Genomic DNA, 21,385 nt, shown 5'->3' on the forward strand with positions numbered 1-21,385 from the left:
GACGGGGTTTCACCGTGTTAGCCAGGATGGTCTCGATCTCCTGACCTCGTGATCCGCCCGCCTCAGCCTCCCAAAGTGCTGGGATTACAGGCGTAAGCCACTGCATCCGCCCAATGTGTTTTCTAATTCAGTAGCTTCTGAATAATGAACATAATTGCCCTCAATTAAACAAACAATACCTTTACATCCAAACCACACCCACATCAGTGATAATGTAGCCCCAACTTATTTTAAAAAGAAGAAAACCAAGATGACCAAATTAGTGACAGCTAATTAAAATGAGTGTGCAAAAACAATTGGGAGAGTGAATGACTGTAACATACTGAAGGACGCTAAAGCCACCTTTTACACTGTTTGGTTTAGACATTAAAAGGAGATGAGCAGATGAGCACTCTGTCTCTTTCTCTCTCTTTTTTTTTTTTTCAAATGTACACTCTCTTCTTCCATTTCAAGTGAAAAACCTATAACAAGAAGATGATTTGTCAGGTTCCTGTTTTATCCGCAGACAGGACAACATTCTCAAAGGGAGGAAAATACCCAGGCCAGCAACTAGGAAAACAATGATTTAGAGCGAGGCAAACATTCTTAGTGAGAGGCGTGCAGTGGCTCTGGGAATTAAGACATATATAATAAAAACATCCAACTCAGTCACCATCTTGAAGATATTTTCTGTGCTGTGGTTTCCTTATTCTTACAAGGAAATAGTTAATCATATAGAGTATAATACTGTCGTGACAAATATTTAAGAGTATAAGCCAGTAATATGAAAGTAGAAAGGAGATAGCTTACTGGAAGGAGAAACACAGGGAGTATCTGGTGTGAGTATGTGTGGGATGTGGAGGTAGGAGATTTCCAATTTTAAATAATGTAGTCAGGGAAGGTCTCTGAGAAAAAGTGGCAATGAGCAAAGACCTGAAGGATTGGTGAGGGAGGGAGCCTTGCAGACATCTGGGAAAAGGACAACCTGGTCAGAAGAAACAGGCCCCGGGGAAAGGAGCTGACAGGTTCAAATAAGATCAAGGACATTTGCACCACGAAGCTATCCCCTTTTTCCCTTGACCATTCCAAATTCTTCAGACACCAAAGTTTCATTCTTTTTCCTCCACAGAATATATGCATTATTATATTAATAAAATTCTGAGGAATTGATTTTTGGTATAAATAGAAATAACTCTCTAGAAATCATTCTGTCATTTCAGTTCTCCTACATTTGGCAGTATAGAATTCAACTTACTTTTTTTCTTTGAAGAGGAGCTTAATGATGAATTAAAATACCCTCTTTGGGTATAAATTACCTGCCATTTAAAGCAGAAAGTCCTCCTCACTTTGTTTTTGTCTTTTATACATATATATATATATATATATATTTTAATTATACTTTAAGTTCTAGGGTACATGTGCACAACGTGCAGGTTTGTTACATATGTATATATGTGCCATGTTGGTGTGCTCCTGTGGCCAAAGTGTTCTCACTGTTCAATTCATACCTCTTTTTTTTTTTTTTTTTTTAGATGAGGTCTCGCTTTGTCACCCAGGCTGGAATGTGGTGGCATGATCTCGGCTCACTGCAACGTCTGCCTCCTGGGTTCAAGTGATTTTCCTGCCTCAGCCTCCCAAGTAGCTGGGATTACAGGTGTGTGCCACCATGCCTGGCTAAATTCTTTTTTTTTAATTGAGCCTTTATTTTTATGTATTCATTTTTTAAAAGAATATTTTTAAAATTTTACTTTAAGTTCTGGGATACATGTGCTGAACACCCAAGTTTGTTATATAGGTATATATGTGCCATGATGGTTTGCTTCACCTATCAACCCGTCATCCAGGTTTTAAGCCCCGCATGCATTAGGTATTTGTCCTAATGCTCTCCCTCCCCTTGCCCCCAACTCCCCAACAGGCCCCGGTGTGTGATATTCTCCTCCCTGTGTCCACGTGTTCTCACTGTTCAACTCCCACTTATGAGTGAGAACATGCAGTGTTTAGTTCTGTTCCTGTGTTAGCATGCTGAGAATGATGGCTTCCAGCTTCATCCACGTCCCTGCAAAGGACATGAACTCATTCTTTTTTATGGCTGCAGCCCGGCTAATTTTTATATTTTTAGAAGAGACAGGGTTTCACCATGTTGGCCAGGCTGGTCTCGAACTCCTAGAATTCAATTTTCTACTAGTTCTTGGAGCTTTGTCAGGATAATAATTAAAGCTGCTTCCTCAGCATATCCTTTTCAGGATTTCAAAGCTTATTAATGCAGTTTACAAGTGTGCAGAAAAAGTAAACATAGCAGGTCTGAAACTTTATCCCTAGAAAGTCCTACTTACAAGATTGGTCCCTTTTTTTTTTTTTTTTTTTGAGTTTCGCTCTTGTTGCCCAAGCTGGAGGGCAATGGCGTGATCTCAGCTCAACACAACCTCCAAATCCTGGGTTTAGGCGATTCTCCTGCATCAGCCAAGCGCATGCCACCATGCCCGGCTTATTTTTGTATTTCTAGTAGAGATGGGGTTTCACTATGTTGGCCAGGCTGATCTTGAACTCCTGACCTCACGTGATCCACTTGCCTCTGCCTCCCAAAGTGCTGGAATTATAGGCATGAGCCACCACACCCAGCCACAGGATTGGTCTTTGACTGGCATATAGGAACTTGGACTTTGGGACAGTTCTCGCCATCCTCAAAACTGATAAAACAGAATATATGGTTTATGCTGAACATCTGCTTTCCTTCTGGGAATCTGGAATTTTGGTAAGTGCCAAAATTTCTAGGAGTGCCTACCTGACCAGCCCCCAATAAAAACCCTGGGCACTGAATCAGTAGTGAGCTTCTCTGGTTGACATTTCACACTTGTCATCACAACTCATTGCTGGAGGAGTTACATATGTCCTCTGACTCCACCAGTAGAAGACTCTTGGAAGCTTGCATCTGGTTTCCTCCAGACTTCACCACATTTGCCTTTTCTCTTTGCTGATTGTGCCTCATATACTTTTGCTATAATAAATAATAGCCATACATACAACTATCTGTTGAGTCCTGTGAGTCCTCCTAGTGAATCATCAAACCTGGGGGTGGTCTTGGGGACAATGACACAACAGATGAATAAATTTAAAAATTTGTATTTATTACTAATTTCTGTAAAAGTTGTATTACTTAAAACCCAGGCAAAATTTCTTATTATTATATGTTACTATACTTGTTAAAATCCAGAATACATTTAACAAAGTAATAGCAAACAGGCAAACAACCCAATGAGCTATCGTTTTACTGATTTGTGGGCTATATAATATTGTCAAAAGAAATATACTGCCAGTTTTTTCTTTCTTTCTTTCTTTTTTTTTTTTGAGATGGAGTCTCATTCTATTGCCCAGGTTGGAGTGCAGCGGCATGATCTTCGCTCACTGCAACCTCCACCTCCTGGGTTCAAGCAATTCTTGTGCCTTAGCCTCCCAAGTAGCTGGGATTACAGGTGTGTGCCACCATGCTTGGCTAACTTTTTTGTATTTTTGATAGAGACGGGGTTTCACCATGTTGGCCAGGCTGGTCTCGAACTCCTGACCTCAAGTGATCTGCCCACCTCAGCTTCCCAAAGTGCAGGGATTACAGGTGTGAGCCACCATGGCTGGCCTACCACTGGTTTTTAAATCTAACATTAAAATATTACCTCTAAAAAAATAAAATATAACTTCCTAAGAAACTAGAACCAGAATTTGATACCTTAGATTTTTTTCTCCTCCACATTCTTCATAGCAACTCAATTCAATTTTCTTGCTACTTGGCTGAGAGCCATCAGTTAGTAACAGAATCATCAAAAAACTGAAACCAAGATGATCCTTCTGGGTAGTGCTTTATAGAGAAACCAAACTCCTAAAATAAAGGGAATATGCCTGCATACAATCCTGGGTGCTACAGGTGAAAGAGTGGAATGCTTGTTCTGCTTTAGGAGGAATGAAGTGGGCAGAATCTCTTGTTAGACAAAGGAAAGAATGCATGCGGGCTATGATATAAAGGCATTGCAGGCATAAATGAAATCAGATGCCCGCAGAGAAAGCTGTGTGATCACTCCAAGCAGTGCCATGAACTGCTCTGGAACCCACTGTGTGTGTGTGTACACATACACAAACACCCTTTTAATCACAGTTTTTAATAATCTGGTGCCTAAAATAAATAATTCTGGCCCTTGTGGCTTTCCCATTATAATAAATATCAGATTTCTTTTTGAAGTACTTATTAAAGCTCCTATAGAATTTCATTTGTTATACTATTAAAAAATCAAGTAAGGAAAAAATCAAGTAAGGAAGTAAACCAAAATGTAACGTTACACTAATTTTTTTTTTTTTTTTGAGATGGAGTCTCGCTCTGTCACCCAGGCTGTAATGCAGTGGCACGATCTCGGCTCACTGCAAGCTCCGCCTCCCAGGTTCAAGTGATTCTCCTGCCTCAGCCTCCCAAGTAGTTGGGACTACAGGCGCGCAGCACCACACCCAGCTAATTTTTGTATTTTTAGTAGAGACAGAGTTTCACCATGTTGGCCAGGATAGTCCTGATCTCTTGACCTCGTGATCCACCTGCCTTGGCCTCCCAAAGTGCTGGGATTACCGGCATCAACCACTGCACCTGGCCAATTTAAGAAGTATTTTTATAAACTATTATTTAAAGCTTTGGTTACTGCTCTTCACCGAATTCACACATAGCCATATTTGAGATTATGCTGATTGCAATAATATACTCCTGACTGATAGACATATACACCTTTATTTGCTATTAGTTTAGATTACTTTCCCACCAAATCTGTACCAGAGGTGTTAACATGGGATATAACAATTGTTCTAAATTTCAGTTTCCCTCTATTCTCTGTCTAAAGACAACATTAAAGAAAAATGAAATCCCCAGCCTGACCAATGTGGTGAAACCCCATCTCTACTAAAAATACAAAAATTAGCCAGGTGTGGTGGCGTGTGCCTGTAGTCCCAGCTACTCAGGAGGCTAAGACAGGAGAATTGCTTGAATCCGGGAGGCAGAGGGTGCAGTGAGCTGAGATTGTGCCACTGCACTCCAGCCTGGGTGAGAGAGCGTGACTCCCAAAAAAAAGAGGAAAAGGAAGGGAAGGGAAAGGGAAGCGAAGGGGAAAGGGAAAGGGAAGCGAAGGGGAAAGGGAAATCCAAATTTACTGAACTAATTCTTCGAAGAATTGTGAAAAAACAATTTGCTTTTAAATAGCTTTGACTATGAATGGCAGATTATACATAATTTCAAAAGCAGACATTGATAAATTAGCATATATTTCTCCCAGCCTCTTGAAGAAGCTAATAAAGAAAGCAGAGAAGTGCTTACATTTTCCTGGTTTGGCTGGAATTCGAATTACAGTGGGCTTCCTGGTGGGTGCTGGTTGAACTGCTCGTTCTTTTATTGGTTCTGTTTTTGCAGGGAGCTGAAAGGGATCTAATGAAAAACATAGTTTATTTTGCATGTTTTAGTTAACATGGACTGAAACAAAAAACCTCATTCATAATTTAAGAGTCATATTTTTCATGCCCCTGGGGAAACTATTCATGGATAAACAAAATCTCAGTTTGCAGAGACAAAAACAAAGTTGGAGCTCATAAAAGGAAATAACTTAGTGTTCTGTAAATAATTCATGCGGCTTTTCTTCCTCTCTGATGAGAGAGATTGAGGATGATCTTGAATTATGTAGAAGCTGATCTTTCAGGGGAGTGTAATCATTTCATACGTGTCTGCCTGAAAATGAGGGGCAACTGAGATGAGGAGACCATCTTTCCCACATCCTAAAGCCTCCCAGATGCCACAGAGAGGAAAGACTCTTTCCCTGTACACCCCCTGTGCCTGTCCCAGAATATTTACTCCCAGGGCCCTCACCCTACCCAGTGCTGTGCCTGGCACAGGGAAGGTGCTTAGCAGTCTCCGATTTAGTAGTTTAGTAAAACTACACTTCAGTAACATGAAAATGAAAAACATTCTATCCCAGAAATAAAATAAGACATATCCCTTCAAATATTTAATTTTGGGGGAAGGATATATGACTCGGCATTCCTCCATCTTAACCGATTTATTAAGTAATTGCAGTGGTTGTCATTGAAAGTAATGCGCCAACCCAATATTTTAAATGGACAGTATATACTTAGGAGAAATACTTTAAACAAAAGCATGGCTGTAAACCTTTTTACTGAAACAGTTTTTAATATAAGTGTCCTTTTTAGTGGTTTGGAAAAATGACTATACTTTTTTTTTTTTAATGGGAAATCTACAAGTAAAAATATTAACAAAAATAAAAGAAAATGCTCTATAATGGATATTCTACTCAGCACACAGGATCGCATGAGACTGTCTTTGCTTTTATTTAACAAGAGGCGAAATGAGTATATGCTGTAATTCTGCACCTGTTCTATGTATCTTGCCTGCGGGGAGATACTCTCTATAAAACTATGCACTCCATAGCTCCTGTGATGAACAGCATTCAAATTCTGCCTGTTATGAGGTGTAATTCAATAAGCACCTTTTGCTGAGCAGCTCTTTGCAGGATACGTGAAGGGCTGAGCTAAGAATAAAAGCCCTTTTGGCAATCTGATACTTCGCCTTCTCTTCCACTCAGTTCTCAGTCGATCTCACCATCAGATACCCTGCCAAAGGCATCACTCTCTCACCAGTCACTTGCTCACATATTTATGCCAGTAACAGTGCTGGGTGGGGAAATATGATGGTAAAGTACAATCCTATTTTAAGTTTCTTATCTACCACTTAGGAAGGGTCCCCAGATGGCAAGCTAGCTAAAATTATTATTATGCTACTGAGGAAAAAAAAAATAGATGACTCCTCTGTGGAATCTTACCAGCTCACAGTGAGTGAGGCTAGTCTTACGTTAAAAAAACCAACTCAAGATTATCAAAAGAATGTCATCAAACTCAAAAAAAAACTACTATATTAATAATATAACTTTTTTCCACTGTGACCTATGTCACCCATAAAACAAAGCTCCTGTTTTTAGATTTAACCAAATTCCTTAATTCTTTAATTTATTATAACAAATATATAACAAGTATAATAGTACTTTTTTTACTTCACAGAAATATTTGTTGTAAAAGTGAGAAACATTAAGAATTATATAAAATAGAAAAAGAAAACCTCTTGTAATCTCATCTCTCTAAAATTAATTATTGTCTAAAATTTGGTATATCTGTCCATGTATTTTCTATAAATATTACATGTATTATTATTATATAAATATTTTGAAAAACAAACCCAGGATCATTTTATATCAATTTCTTTGTAGTTTTATATCAATTTCTTAGCACTTTTATATCAATTTCTTTGTAGCAGTTTTGTTCATTCAATATTGACTGGGTGCCTGCTATGCATTAAACACTATTTTACGGCTTCCGCCCTGTCTGGGACGTGAGGAGTGTCTCTGCCCGACCGCCGCCCCATCTGGGAAGTGAGGAGCGCCTCTGCCCGGCCGCCCCACCGTCTGGGAAGTGAGGAGCGCCTCTTACTGGCCACCCCGTCTGGGAAGTGAGGAGCGCCTCTGCCTGGCTGCCGCCCCATCTGGGAAGTAAGGAGCGCCTCTGCCAGGCCGCCCCACCGTCTGGGAAGTGAGGAGCGCCTCTTACCGGCTGCCCCGTCTGGGAAGTGAGGCGCGCCTCTGCCCGGCCGCTGTGCAACCTTCCAAGTGTGAAGTGACAGCCTTGTGTGTGATCTTTTCTGTCTTCCCCAAGTTTGCATTTTCAACATTAAACTTTACTTTTTAGTTAAAAAAACAAAACAAAACAAAACACTATTTTAGGTGCTGGGAATATAGCAGTGAACAAAGCACAGAACTCTGCCTTCATGGAGCTTGCATTCCAGCAGGAAGATCGAGACAAGAAACAATACATGTAACAGATAAGCAATTCACGAGGTTTATTAGAAGGTGAGAAGTATATTGAAAAAGGTGAGAAGTATATTGAAAAATGAAAAAGCAGAACAAGGTGAGGAACTTCAGTTGTGGGCAGAAGGGAAGCAGGTTGCAGAAGGAAACATGAGTGCAGCAGGTGAGGCAGGTGACATTGTCTTTCCAAAAACTGGATTTTACATATTTGAATAGTTCTTCCAATAATCATTCACGGTGTCTTATCTTTCGAGTAGCATTTCTTTTTTTTTTTTTTTTGAGACACGGTCTCACTCTCACCCACTCCCTCTGTCTCACGGTGTCACTCTGTCATTCCACCCAGGCTGGAGCGCAGTGGTGCAATCACGACTCATTGCAGCCTCAACCTCCTGGGCTCAAGCAATCCTCCCACCTCAGCCTCCTGAGTATCTGGTACTACAGGAATGTGCCACCATGCCTGGCTAATTTTTATTTTTTGTAGAGATGAGGTTTCACTGTGTTGTCCAGGCTGGTCTTGACCTCTTGGGCTCAAGTGATCCTCCCACCTTGGCCTCTCAAAGTGCTGGGATTATAGGTGTGAGCCACTGTGCCTGGCCTGAAGTGCTATTTCTTTAACAGCTGCTTTTGGTATCAATACCCTGTTGGTTATTAGTTTAAAATTTTAGTCAATGATGCTTTTTGGGTGGGTGTGAAGGGGGAAGAAAATCTTGAGCATGTAATGACTTAAATTGTTTCCCAAATCAAATTAAATTCTGGGCCAGTATAAGACCTACACACTCACATTTCACAAGTGAGGGCATGGATGGGGGTAGGGGCAGGCAGGGAAAGGAGAAAAGAGGACAATCAGCACCCCTGAGGGGCTGAACATAGGGGGCATCCAAAACGTGCTTGCTGTGGGAAGAATGGCCTCAGGAAATCCTGACCCAAATCCTGCACACAGTGTGGGCAGATCTCACCTATTCTGTTAAAGGGTCCAATCATTTTTTGTTTTAACCTGAAGGATTTAAATTGAAGTAGCATAGGTATAACTTATGAAGTATTCAAAGTGTCCTAGCTTACTCACTCTCTCATTTTTTTAATTTTTAATACCGTTAGCTGTTTTTTAATAACTGGCACTCAGATAGTGTATAATTATTCTACTATACATGTCTCCGGGAAAAAAAAATTCTTTCTCCATGTGGCGAGGCAAGGAAGTCTTCGTGTTCCACCACCGCAGGCTGTTTGGCAGGAGTGGTCTGTTTAATGATCTCCCCCAGCTGTGCTCACTGAGTCAGTGAGCTCTGCATCTGCCTCTCTGTCTGCATGTTGTCTGGGCTGTGATCCATGTGAGGAGTGCAGATTAGTGGGGAGGATAAACAGCATCACTTCAATGAGACGGTGGAGCCAGAGGCCTGTTTTTTATCTTATGATGGTGTGCAAGCTTCTCTCTAGCAACGTAAGTTCACTTTTTATGTCTTTTCCTAAGAGGGCTATTTTTTCCAACATAAGTTATAAGTGGGCAACATATAAAGCAAGGCTGGCACCTCATATTGGGGTACTCCAGACACCACCAGGTAAGAAACTGGATCATTAGTACTAGTTAAAATGTTTAAAGATCATAACCTTTGACTAGTAGTCCCACGTTCAGAAATTTATTCTTCAGAAATAAAAGCATCAGCAGAAGTGAACATGCTTATGAGGGTATTTACTGCAGCATTTTTTGTAGTGGCAAAAACCAACAAGGAACAAAACAAAACAACATCCCCCTGCCCCACTAAATAAAACAAACAAAACAACCTGAATGTCCATCAACAGGGGAAATACTGAACCAGCTATGATATACTATGAGGTATCAGGCAGGATACCTCATAGTAGGAGAAAATGAATTAGAATTAGACCTATTATCCTGAAGAGAAGTCATAAATGTCATTGTTTTTTAAAGCACTCTGCTGAGTAACAGGTATCGTATGGTAAAAATTTCTGGAAAAAGTCCATTATGTGTATATGTGTAAGCTTTGGTTTGGCATGCCCAAAGGCACAGAAGGCTGCATACTTTGTTCACATTGGTTACCGTGGGGAGTTTACATTTTTTTTTAATCCAAAATCTCTGAATTGTTTGACTTGTTACAACGAATATATTTTACTTTTCTAACAGAAACAAATCCAATAAAATAAATTCAATCATAAGGAAAAAGTTACAAGATTAAGCTGAGTTAACACCTCTGCCAAACAAACCAGAACAAAACCACTTAAAAATAAGAGAACAAAAGAAACTTCTGGTTTCTTTTGTTGCTTTTTCAAGGCAATAATGGCCATAAAATTTTCCATAAAGTAACTAGAAAAATAAAAACTCTTTTTCTGGGGTTCAATTTAAAAGGAAATAATGCAGATATAAAATTTTGAATTTATCTAATTTAGGCATATTTAGTTCATAACAAGTAGCTTCTATTTGTAACCTTGAATAATATAACCATTTAGATAAATCACTATTTTATTATTTTAAAAATTTTTACTTATCAGAATCTGAGGGTCATTGGGGGAAGCAGTTCTTCAGAAGTGGCAAAGACGACAAGAGATAATTCTCCCAGTTTCTTTCAGCCTAATTATGCTTATGTTCAGCTCTTTTAAAAAGATTATTGATTAACTCTCTTGTTAAAGGTAATGCCTCCACATGGTCTGAAATTCAAAAGGGAGCAAAATGCATACAGTGAAAACCAGGTTCCCTGTTCTCTCCTATCCAGTTCCTTCATAAAAGACACACTTTGTACCACCTTTTCATACATTACTGTACATTGCATTTGACATTTAACACAAACAATAGCTAAAATAACATAAAAAGTATCCTGTATCTTGCATTTTTCACCTAATAATATCTTGGAGGTTGGTCCAAAGTAGGGGATAATAGGTCTCCCTCCCTTTTAATTATCACACAATACTCCATTGTTATGGATGTACTATAATTTATTTAAGCAGTCCATTGACATTTATTTCCAATATTCTGTAGTAGAAGTCCTTAATCTAGAGCCCAAAATGGGCCCTCTAAGCTCTGGATATTGTACCTTGAATTGTGTACACATGAGCTAATGGCTATTTTCTTTTTTTTTTTTTCCTCACAGCTCCAAACAGTCACTGAATTAATGGCTATTTTCAAGGGAGAGAAAAGACTCTCAGGCTATGTCAGATTCTCAGAGTTTGGTAATCTGGAAAGGGTTAAGAACTTGCTGCCATAATTCTATCACAGACTGCTCTTGCTTCTACAGAAAAACAAAAAACAAAAAACACGGAGCATCTTAAGAAGAATCTCCTATCTGAATCTAAGACAAGAAAATGGCATTTTTGTCTACTTTTATTTGCAGTGATGGCATTTTTGTCTACTTGTATTTGCAATGTTTATTCTGTCTTCCCTCTACCCCCTCACACCAGCACCAATTATTCCACACCTGCTGGTGAACAAGCAGAGGCCTCTTTACACCTATATCCGCATGGTCTTCATTACTGGATTGAGAAAAACACTGATGATGAAGTAGTTTTCCGCCCATTACCTGTCTCTAATAATATGCTTGTCATCACAATTAGTTTCACCATCCCTGGCTTGCTTTTCTGTCATTTCTTTCCCTTGAGTTCTGTTAATAGCAGAAATTGGCTGCTAAACTATTATTCTGGTCTGTGTAATGGGGCTGATGGCAGAAACATTCTGCTTCTTTTGACAACTGGGTATGATTTGTAAAGGTGTGAAGAAGAATTGCTAATACTTCTGGGCTCCATTACATTAACCTGGAAGGCATTCTACCCAAGAAATGAATCCAATATTAAATTGCCTGTTTTATGAGTTTTTATTTAATAATTTTTCTAATCTTTACAATGTTTTCATAGCTTCAGTATTTTCAGATCTCTATTTCCTGAGATTAATATGGCAACTTCATTTTATGAATGCTATTTTATTAGATTTTCTTTATTTTTGAGGTAAGAGAAACGGAAGGGAAGAGTTATTTGTAAGTTTCTCTTCTTTCTCCTGTGTTCCTCTCCCAGTTTCTGCCTGGTGTCTGGATGATTAGGCAAGGTTTCCCAGGACCATAAACCTTTATTTACAATGACAATGCTACCAAAATACCACCAAAAAGTCACAAAGCCCCAAATCAAAAAGCAAACAAAAATCCCTCCACAGGTCAAGGCATTCAGAGGTGATCCTGAAGGCCTTTGGAGGGCATAAGTAGGGAGGCAAAAAGCACCAGTGTGCATTCTAGAAACTCCCCCTAGGTAGCCACAGTATGGATTGTGATAGGATTGTCTGAGTGGGCTCAATTTGGGAGGCCACTGCAGTCATCAGAGTGTAAAGGCCTAAAGTGGGGCAGAAGAGGGAAGGATGAAAAGGAGAGGCAGAGTCAAGAACTATTTGGAAGGTAAAACCAGCAGGAGTTGGTAACTAATTAGATGTGAAGGCAGAGAAGTAACAATAATAACTACTAATTAATGATCATAGGGCTTTCCTGCATAATCACATTTAACCCTTGCAATACCCTAGGTGAGGAGTAGTATTACGTCTAAACAAATGAGGAAACAGAGGCACTGTGAGGTTAAGAAAATTGCCCAAGGTCATGTAACAAATATGGTAGACCCTGGCAGACTCCAAATCTGAACAGCTAGCCACTGTGTGACACGGTGAGAAGACTCAAGGATGATCTCTGGGTTTCTCCAGGAAAGGCTGGTGTGTGTGTGATGGTGTCAATAGTGAGTTGCAAAATATAGGAAGAAAGAAGATTTAGAAAGAAGATAGTATTCAGCTCAGTATAACCCCATAGTCCAGAGCAATGGTTAAAGTCAGATAGCACAAGCAAATTACACACTTTGCTAAAAGACGCCCCAATAATTAAATGTTGTTCAATGAAGTGGTAGAAATCAAGAAATGGAAAAGGCTGAGTATGAAGCATGAGACTGTATTCATGCTTAAAGTATATTGTTGACCTTCCTTTTTGAAGATGACTATAATTATCTGCTAGATGATACAAAATAAATTCTCAGCAATTATTAGTTGAGTTGCCATCCCCATAGAAACTAGCAAGTTCTACAAAAGGTAATATTTCTTTAGCTTGCTGCTGTTGGGTTTATCTATCCCTGTCCTTCTCTGAATCTTGTTAATACCAAAAAGGTTTATATAAGAAAATGGTATTATCAAAGACTTGAAAAGTTTTTAAAGTGTTGCCTGGTTAAGGATTCATGAAAATATTGGGTAGCAACATTATACAGTGAAAAATAAACTAGGCTTAGAATAAAAACACTAAGTTTGAATCCTGACTTGAACAATTGTTTTATGACACTGGGCAAGTGATCCATAGATCTCTCTCAGTCTCACTGTCTTCATTTGCAAACTTAGGCCAATGATAACTCACAGACGGTTGTTGCAATTATTAAATAAAATAATGTATGTCTCAGTATTTAGCAGAGCATTAGGTACACTGCAGAAGCTTAATATATTCAAATGTTTTTCCTTCCACCCTTTATGGACAAAAGCCATGTATGTCTTTTAGTTTATACGCTAAAATGTTGTGTGTCAGTTACAATGTTCTGTGCATGATGAATATTTAATAATGTGTATGTTTGTTTTCATTTTAAACACACCTGTGCTATGCAGAATGTGGCTGTGAAATCACAGAGCCTGTACTATTTTGATGCATGTTAAACATTTATACAGTGACAGTTAAGCTTTTGAAAATTCTATTAAGTTTATATGTTCACAAATTCCACCCAAATAAGTCAACAGCAGTAAAAGAAATCTTATCAATGACAAGTAGAGCAGCTTAGTTTGACAAATCAAAGATAAGCTTTACCATCACACTCTCCAACGGAACAGTTAGAGGAAAGAAAACATACTCTCTGCCTTCTGGGATATTTAATTGTACTGATCTTGGCAGCTAACTTGTATCTGTTGTATTTTATTTACAAAACTTTTCACTCTCAAGGGAAGATGTTCTGTGAAGATTAAAGGAACAACTTTGCAACATGTGGCTGGGTCCTCATTCCGTACATTTTCGAGTCCTCCCCTGGAGCTGGCCCCTCTCCCAGCACTCCCAGCTGAGGCCCATTTCATCTGAGGAGCCCCTCTGGGGCCACTGCATGACTTCCCATCTAAGAGAAGCTTCCTCTGCATCCTTCTACATGTTCCATAACCTCCCTGGATCCTTTCAATGTGAAGTCTGAACTTCTATCTGCCAAGAGTAAGGGGAGCCAGCCCCACAACCTATTATAGTTTAGCTCCTAGCCCCAGTCTGCTTACTTCTGGCTCATATAATAGTAATCGATGCATGTGTCTCCCCATTTCTGACTCCATTACCCCCATCCCATATTTTCCCTTCCCTCCCTGTCTCCATTCCCCACATAGCTCCCATGTTTCTTGATCTGTCTGTTCATTCCTCTGTTTCTATACACACACATGCATGTGCACATACTTGTATACACACACCTCAATAACTTATGTACCAGAAACTAAAACAGCAAGTGCCATTTAAAATACCCTATCATGAGTTTAGATTCCCCTCCACTGCTGATTTTTCACTCACCTAGAACCATCTCTGAACCAACAGATTCTTCAGCCAGGTTCCCCGATGGGGTGGGCAAAACATCATCATCAAAGCTGATGAGATCGATGTCCACCAAGGGCTTGCTCTGCAGAACTGGAACTGGGGGGTTGGCTGGGGGCCCTTCTCCCAGTGACTTGTATGCTTTGGCTTGTGATGCCCCTGCGAGTCGGGGAGGAACAGTGACAGGTTTCAGTGGAGCTGAAGGGTAGGTGGGGTTTTCTGAGGAAACAGATTTCTTCAGCAGCAAAGGCCGCGGGGCAGGAGTTGGCACTTTCTTCCCACTATCAGAGCTCTCAGCCAGGGGCCCTCTTCCCGGAATCTCAGGATTAACACTTCGTATAAGGCCAGGGTTTGGTTTCTTTGGCAATTCAGGTTTGGTTACTGGGATGCTTCCCGCTTCTTGCAGGGGAGGGTATGGGGTGAGTCCTTCCTTGGAGGTCACCTTGAGTCTGTTCTCAGTCCCAGAGTCCCACTCTCCAGAAGCTCTGTTAGCAGCTGGTTTGGGAGCTACAGAAGGTTTCCCTGAGGAAACAGTAGGCTTTGGAGGAAGTGAACGTGGAGTAATTTCTGGTTTCTTGGGCAGTCCTGAGGTTTCTATGTTTGTCTGACCCTCAAACACTTTAATTCTGGAAACAATACTATTTTGGCTTTGTTCTGTGTTCATAATGTTCATCACTGCCTGACTGTCTGAGGTGCTAGCGTTGTCCAGCAGAGACTGGGGCCGGCCTGGGGATGACTCCTCTCCTACGGCTGCTGGGCTGATTTTCTGTTGACTTTGCTCTTTAATGTGAGAATCTCTGGGTATTGGTCTGAGGTTGCTTTTTGATCTTGGTTTTGGCACTGGACATCTTGTAGCACTGGGGTTTTCTGGACAATTCGGTTCTTCAGAAATATCAAAGACGATTAAAGGTGCCACATTTGTTGGAAGATTGCCAGACGAGACTGCTGAGAAAGGCTGAAGAGGCTTGAGAGGTGCCTGTAGTGCTGACGAGACCAAAACAAAACCAAAACAAATAAAAACAAGCCATAACGTTAACAATGTATAAGGAAAAAAATAGAAGATACACAGATTTAAAACTACATACATGGAATATCAAGAGATTTTGGTTTCTTTTAATTAGTAAAAAGTGATTCAAAAATGGAAATGTTTATTCTGTTTCCTGTAGGAGTGCTCTTCATATAACACTTTTTTTTTTTTGAGACAGGGTCTTGCTCTGTTGCCCTGGCTGGTGTACAGTGGCTCTAACACGGCTCACTGCAGCCTCACCCTCCAGTGCTCAAGCGATCCTCTCACTTCAGCTTCCTGAGTAGCTGGGACTACAGACACATACCACCACACTCAGCGAATTTTTCCATTTTTTTGCAGAGATGGGATTTCACCATGTTGCCCAGGCTGGTCTCAAACTCCTGTGCTCAAGCAATCCACCCGCCTTAGTCTCCTAAAGCGTTGGGATTAAAGGCATAAGCCACAGTGCAACACTTTAAAAAAGCCTAACAGGACAACCACCCTTAGCATCCTATCAAGTATAAGTTGCTAAATATAAGATCCTTCTCAGAGGGAATAAAGGGAATCAATGGTAATACCCACCATGAATTATACGGATAATGTTTTTGTGATATAAACTAGGGTAAGCTCAAGAGATTGGGGCTGCAGTTTGTAAGAATGATCTATTATAATCATCACTGCACACCCAAATAAAGCAAGCACACAGTGATCACACTGACTGGGCAGCAGAGCTCAATGAATTATGCACAAATTGCAAATTATTTTAAAGGCTGGAAGCCTACGGATTACTTCCCTAGAACTAGGTCAGAATTAGGGAAGACAAATTACTTGCATTACTTTGAGGCAGATCGTTGTCTATTTCTTCTGAAAAGTCAGTCTGAGTTGCAGAAGTAATAGTGTGCCTTGGAGTAGCAGCAGCATTATTATTATTTGTAGTATTAACTTGAACTTGGTTGATTTCTTTTATAACTTGTTCATAAGATGGTGGGAGCTGAAAAGTAAAGAATGAAGATTTTAGACATCTAAGGGCAATAGCTAAGGTGTTGACAGTCTCACTGTTCTTATCTTCCAATTTCATTTAAAAAATAAAATGCAAAGAGATAATGTAATGTTTATTCACCTCAGCAGGAACCAGCTCATTAGGCCTCCAAGAGCCTGCTGCAGATGATGTAGGAAATCCCAGTCCTGGGGGTGGGGTTCCTGGAAACCACGAGGCTGGCCTCAGTGGCTCAGCTGCCACAATGGTGATCTCTGGGCGCCTAGTGGACAGAAGCCTCAGTGAGGTTTTGCAGAATGGTAACAAGCTATTGTCTATCTATAAATGTTCAAAGATTCATGAAAACCACCATCAACCAAAAAAGTTGTAAGAACTAACACAGTCACAGAAATGACCTGTCAGGCCTGGGCTGTCTCTGACAGTACACCCAGACAGGCTTCAAGAGAGCAAATGACAATCATCCTCTATGACTTTGGCCTCAAAAAGTTAGAGTTGGACCCTGGGCACACTTGGCTCTGCCTTGGTTGATAAGGATAAGAACTAAGTAAGGCCTATACAATCTCTTCATTCCAGGGCTATCTAGCCTTAGGGCAAACATACAGTGTAAGGTATAAAAGCCCATTAGTCAAATGGAATTGTTTTTCTGTTATTATTATTATTATCTGAGACAGAGTCTCACTCTGTTGCCCAGGCTGGAGTGCAGTGGTGACGCGATCTCAATCTTGGCTCCCTGCAACCTCCGCCTCTCAGGTTCAAGCAATTCTGACACCTCAGCCTCCCGAGCAGCTGGGATTACAGGCATGTGCCACCATACCCAGCTAATTTTTGTATTTTTAGTAGAGATGGGGTTTCACCATATTGGTCAGGCTGATCTCGAACTCCTGACCACAAGCAATCTGCCCACCTCAGCCTCCCAAAGTGCTGGGATTAGAGGCGTGAGCCACTGCACCCAGCTTGGTTTTCTGTTATTATAAAGTGCATACTCTGAAATGCAAAATTACCATTTAAAAAGAATATCCTCTTCTGCCTTACTTCATCTCTGTTTCAATTCACAGTTATGTTTAAGTGTTTTGGGTTTATATGTTCACTTCTAGACTTTGATATGTGTCTCTGGGTTCGTGATCAGGTTTGTATATGATTTGATGATTAATCTTTAATACTGGAGAGCTATAGTGATTTAGGCATGACTCCTTTTATCTTTTTCTTAATCTGATTCTACATTCTCATGTTTAAAGTAATTAATTGATTTTGTAGAGACAGGGCCTCACTCTGTTGCCCAGGCTGGAGTGCAGTGGCACAATCATAGCTCACTGCAGCCTCGAGCTCCCCGCCCCTCAGCTTCCTGAGTAGCTGGGACTACAGGCACATGCCACCATGCCTGGCTGATTTTTAAAATTTTTTGTAGAGACAAGGGCTCACTATCTTGCTCAGGCAGGTTTCGAACTCCCAGCCTCAAGCAATCCTTCCAAAGTGTTGGGATTAAAGGTGTAAGGCACTGTGCCTGGAGCATGTTTAAATTTTCTCTTAAACCTGATTTCCTAACAAACAGCAACTGTGTGACCCTGAACAAATCAATCAAGTTTTGATTGGAAAACTCAGTTTTCTCATGGAACATACATGGATGATAATACCTGCTCTGCCTTTCTCTAGCACTCTATGGAAAATAAAAACAAAAAAGCACTGTCATTCTCAAAATTATGCATTACACACATACTCATGCTACATTGTGAAACAGTAGAACCTGATCATTGATAAAATTTGAACTGTACTTCCTAAGAACCTTTGCTTATAGCTTTTGTCTAACTAAATAGTAAGAGTTATTAGTTAATAAACGTTAAGCATCATATGTATATTAATTCTTATGACAACCTTGTGATGTAGGTATGATTAGCACCATTTTAAAGCTGGGATAAAGAAGCTAGAGAGATTAAGCAGCTTGTCATCCAAGGTCACATGGTAGGAAAGTGGCGGTCAGGATTTGAATTTGGTTCTGACTCTGAAGTCCTTCATTATTCTATACTATACTGTAAGCAATTTGACAGCAGGGACCATGACTTATGAAAACCTCTCTATCTGATTGAATGTCATGATGTAATGTAAAAAAAAAATCTATCCATCCATTTAGCCATTTGTCCATCCATCCTTCTGTCCATTCTATTGTCCATCTGTCCACTGGTCCTTCCTTCTATCTACCCAAATATTATCTTTCCTCCCTTCTCTTTTCCCTTCCTTTTTCCAAAAAGCCATCCAGGCTTTATTCATTGTGCCTACCTCCTCTTTTCCTTTCTTTATCCTTCCATTCAATTTTCTATCCTGTCATCCATCCATTTGGTTAGGCAACATGTACTAAGTAGCATGAGGTACAAAGCATTTCTCTGAAGCAGTTACAATGCTTTACATGTAACAGCTGTTTAATAAACATTTAAAAAATCAACTTCAATAAATAACTATACTCAAAAGAACATTTTCAAGCCTGTATCACTCCTTCTCTCAAGCAAAATCATCTTTCAAACTTATAAGTTAATTCAGGAGATATATTGATGAAGCAGAATACAAGAATACATTGCTTATGAAAGTGAAACATTTAATTTGCTACCTGATAACACACTTTTACTCAATTATTAGTCTAATATATGTCCTCCATTATAAATATAACCATACCTTCTATCTCGATGAAGTTCACTCTGAATAGAAGTCCGAGAAGCTGTTGAAGAAGGAATAAACTGGTATAGTACAAAATTAGTATGTTTGGTAAGGGTTTAAATTTTTACAAAGTACACAATTGGAAAAAGCTTATACTTGACATCATATAGAATGTATGAATTTTAATATCCTTAAAAAAAAGTAAATCAAAACAATCATTTTATTAGCATAAAGTTAATTATGGTTATATATTAGAGATTGCATAATACATAGATTTCAAAAACTCCCCAAAGAACATTCTGTAGTTGTGAAAATAGTTTGAAGAATGAACAGAGAAAAGAAGACAGCTATTAAATATAAATTGCATGGCTGGAGTATTAAGATGATGACATGAAGTAACAATGGGCAGAAAAAATTTTAAATATCGATTCCAATCTATATGACTATGCTTTTGTGATGTTTGTTTATAAATCTATTGTAGAATGAAACTGGTCAAATTTTCATCTTTTGTCTAACTTATCTGACATTTTATAACCTTTAAGTTGTTTTATTATTTATTTTGAGACAGGGTCTCACCCTGTTGCTCAGGCTGGAGAGCAGTGACATGATGTTCAGGGCTCAATGCAGCCTCAAGTTCCCAGGCTCAAGTGATCCTCCTGCCTCAGCCTCCCAAGTAGCTGGGACTACAGGCACATGACACCATGCCTTGGTAATTTTTTGTATGTTTCGCAGAGATGAGGTTTCGCCATGTTGCTGGTCTCAAGCTCCTGGGTTCAAGCGATCCTCCTGCCTGGGCTTCCCAAAGTGCTGGGATTACAGGCATGAGCCACTATGCCCAGCCTTTTATTACTTAAACTAAGATATAATAATTAATGTAAAAGGTGTTCAAATCACTTTTATAAACTTGTTTATAGCACATATTATTGTATATGCAGCACTGACTTTTTCCTTAAGTCTCAAACTCAAGTCCTTAAGCTTGATAGTTTAAATTTTTTCCCAAATTTTATTTTATAAAGTAAACTAAGTTTTAATCGGATAATCTAGAACATATCACATATGGGGTCATTTTTTTTTCTTTTTTTTTTTTTTTGAGACAGTCTCGCTCTGTCGCCCAGGCTGGAGTGCAGTGGCGCGATCTTGGCTCACTGCAAGCTCTGCCTCCTGGGTTCACACCATTCTCTTGCCTCATCTTCCAGAGTAGCTGGGACTACAGGCGCCCGCGACCATGCCTGGCTAATTTTTTATATTTTTAGTAGATACGGGGTTTCACCGTGTTAGCCAGGATGGTCTCGATCTCCCGACCTTGTGATCCACCCGCCTTGGCCTCCCAAAGTGCTGGCTTTACAGGTGTGAGCCACTGCGCCCGACACATATGGGGTCAATTTTTCAATTTTTATGTAATAGAGACTATTACCTCTATTTTTCTTTATTTCTTTTTTTTTTCTGAGATGGGGTCTCGCTCTGTCGCCCAGGCTGGAGTGCAGTGGCGCCATCTCGGCTCACTGCAAGCTCCGCCTCCCGGGTTCATGCCATTCTCCTGCCTCAGCCTCCCGAGTAGCTGGGAGTACAGGTGCCTGCCACCATGCCCGGCTATTTTTTTTTTTTTTTTTGTATTTTTAGTAGAGATGGGGTTTCACCGTGTTAGCCAGGATGGTCTTGATCTCCTGACCTCGTGATCCTCCCACCTCGGCCTCCCAAAGTGCTGGGATTACAGGCATGAGCCACCACGCCCGGCCTACCTCTATTTTTCATGGAACATATTCTAAAGATCTCTTTGGGGAAAAAAATCTTCTAATACTATAGTGTAAAGATCTGTGCACAAAGGAAATTTGTTTCAGATATAAACTATTTTAACCAGTTGCTTTCATATCTCAGTAATACTCAACTTGTTCAATTCTTCCTATTTGAAAAGATTGGAAGCATAGATCTTTCCCCCCTATTAACTTCTGCTTCTCTCTGAACAAGGAGGCTGTCAAAACTAGGGGAGGCAGGGGTGGAAGTGGAAGGTGGGAATGAAGTTTAGGCTGGATTGGAGCCGTAACAGGTGAACCTCTGCTGGGTTGGCAAAGCAAACCTCTAAGATCTGAAACCAAACCCCTGGGTTTCTACTTGGAGGATGTCCTCATATTCATATCATCAACTGGTTTGACTGACTATTAACATTTTTATCAAGAGCTAAACCAAGCTGACAGGGAGGCTAGAGCTCTGCATGGTGTGTCTGATTTGTAAGAATGGTTTCATTAAGTCAGAGGCCCATTCAAGTTTGCTACAATCACATCACCACCATCACTAATGCTGAAATCAGCAGGGATAACACTTTTAA

General features: G+C 40.0%; 1 protein-coding gene and 1 long non-coding RNA gene across 15 annotated transcripts in view; one reads left to right on the forward strand and one right to left on the reverse strand.

The window, feature by feature from the left end:
* SH3D19 (SH3 domain containing 19) overlaps positions 1-21,385 on the reverse strand; it is a 205,325-nt gene that overhangs the window by 39,994 nt on the left and 143,946 nt on the right. For 10 of the 14 annotated variants that reach the window (NM_001378131.1, NM_001378122.1, NM_001378121.1 and 7 more), the window contains 5 exons: positions 19,081-19,123; positions 16,543-16,681; positions 16,260-16,413; positions 14,396-15,400; positions 5,315-5,422 (listed from right to left, as the gene is read on the reverse strand). In NM_001378131.1, the coding sequence (NP_001365060.1) occupies positions 5,315-5,422; positions 14,396-15,089 (802 nt within the window). In that variant the 5' untranslated portion in view covers positions 15,090-15,400; positions 16,260-16,413; positions 16,543-16,681; positions 19,081-19,123. Of the gene's footprint in view, positions 1-5,314; positions 5,423-14,395; positions 15,422-16,250; positions 16,414-16,542; positions 16,682-19,080; positions 19,124-21,385 lie in introns of those variants that run through there. The other 4 variants (NM_001378128.1, NM_001128923.2, NM_001009555.4 and 1 more) reach the window with 3 other exon arrangements.
* On the forward strand, positions 9,135-13,837 carry LOC105377485 (uncharacterized). The gene is made up of 2 exons (XR_007058329.1): positions 9,135-9,297; positions 10,958-13,837. It is a non-coding gene; the product is annotated as an uncharacterized LOC105377485 (long non-coding RNA).

Source organism: Homo sapiens, chromosome 4, assembly GCF_000001405.40.
Source record: "Homo sapiens chromosome 4, GRCh38.p14 Primary Assembly".
NCBI lineage: Eukaryota > Metazoa > Chordata > Mammalia > Primates > Hominidae > Homo > Homo sapiens.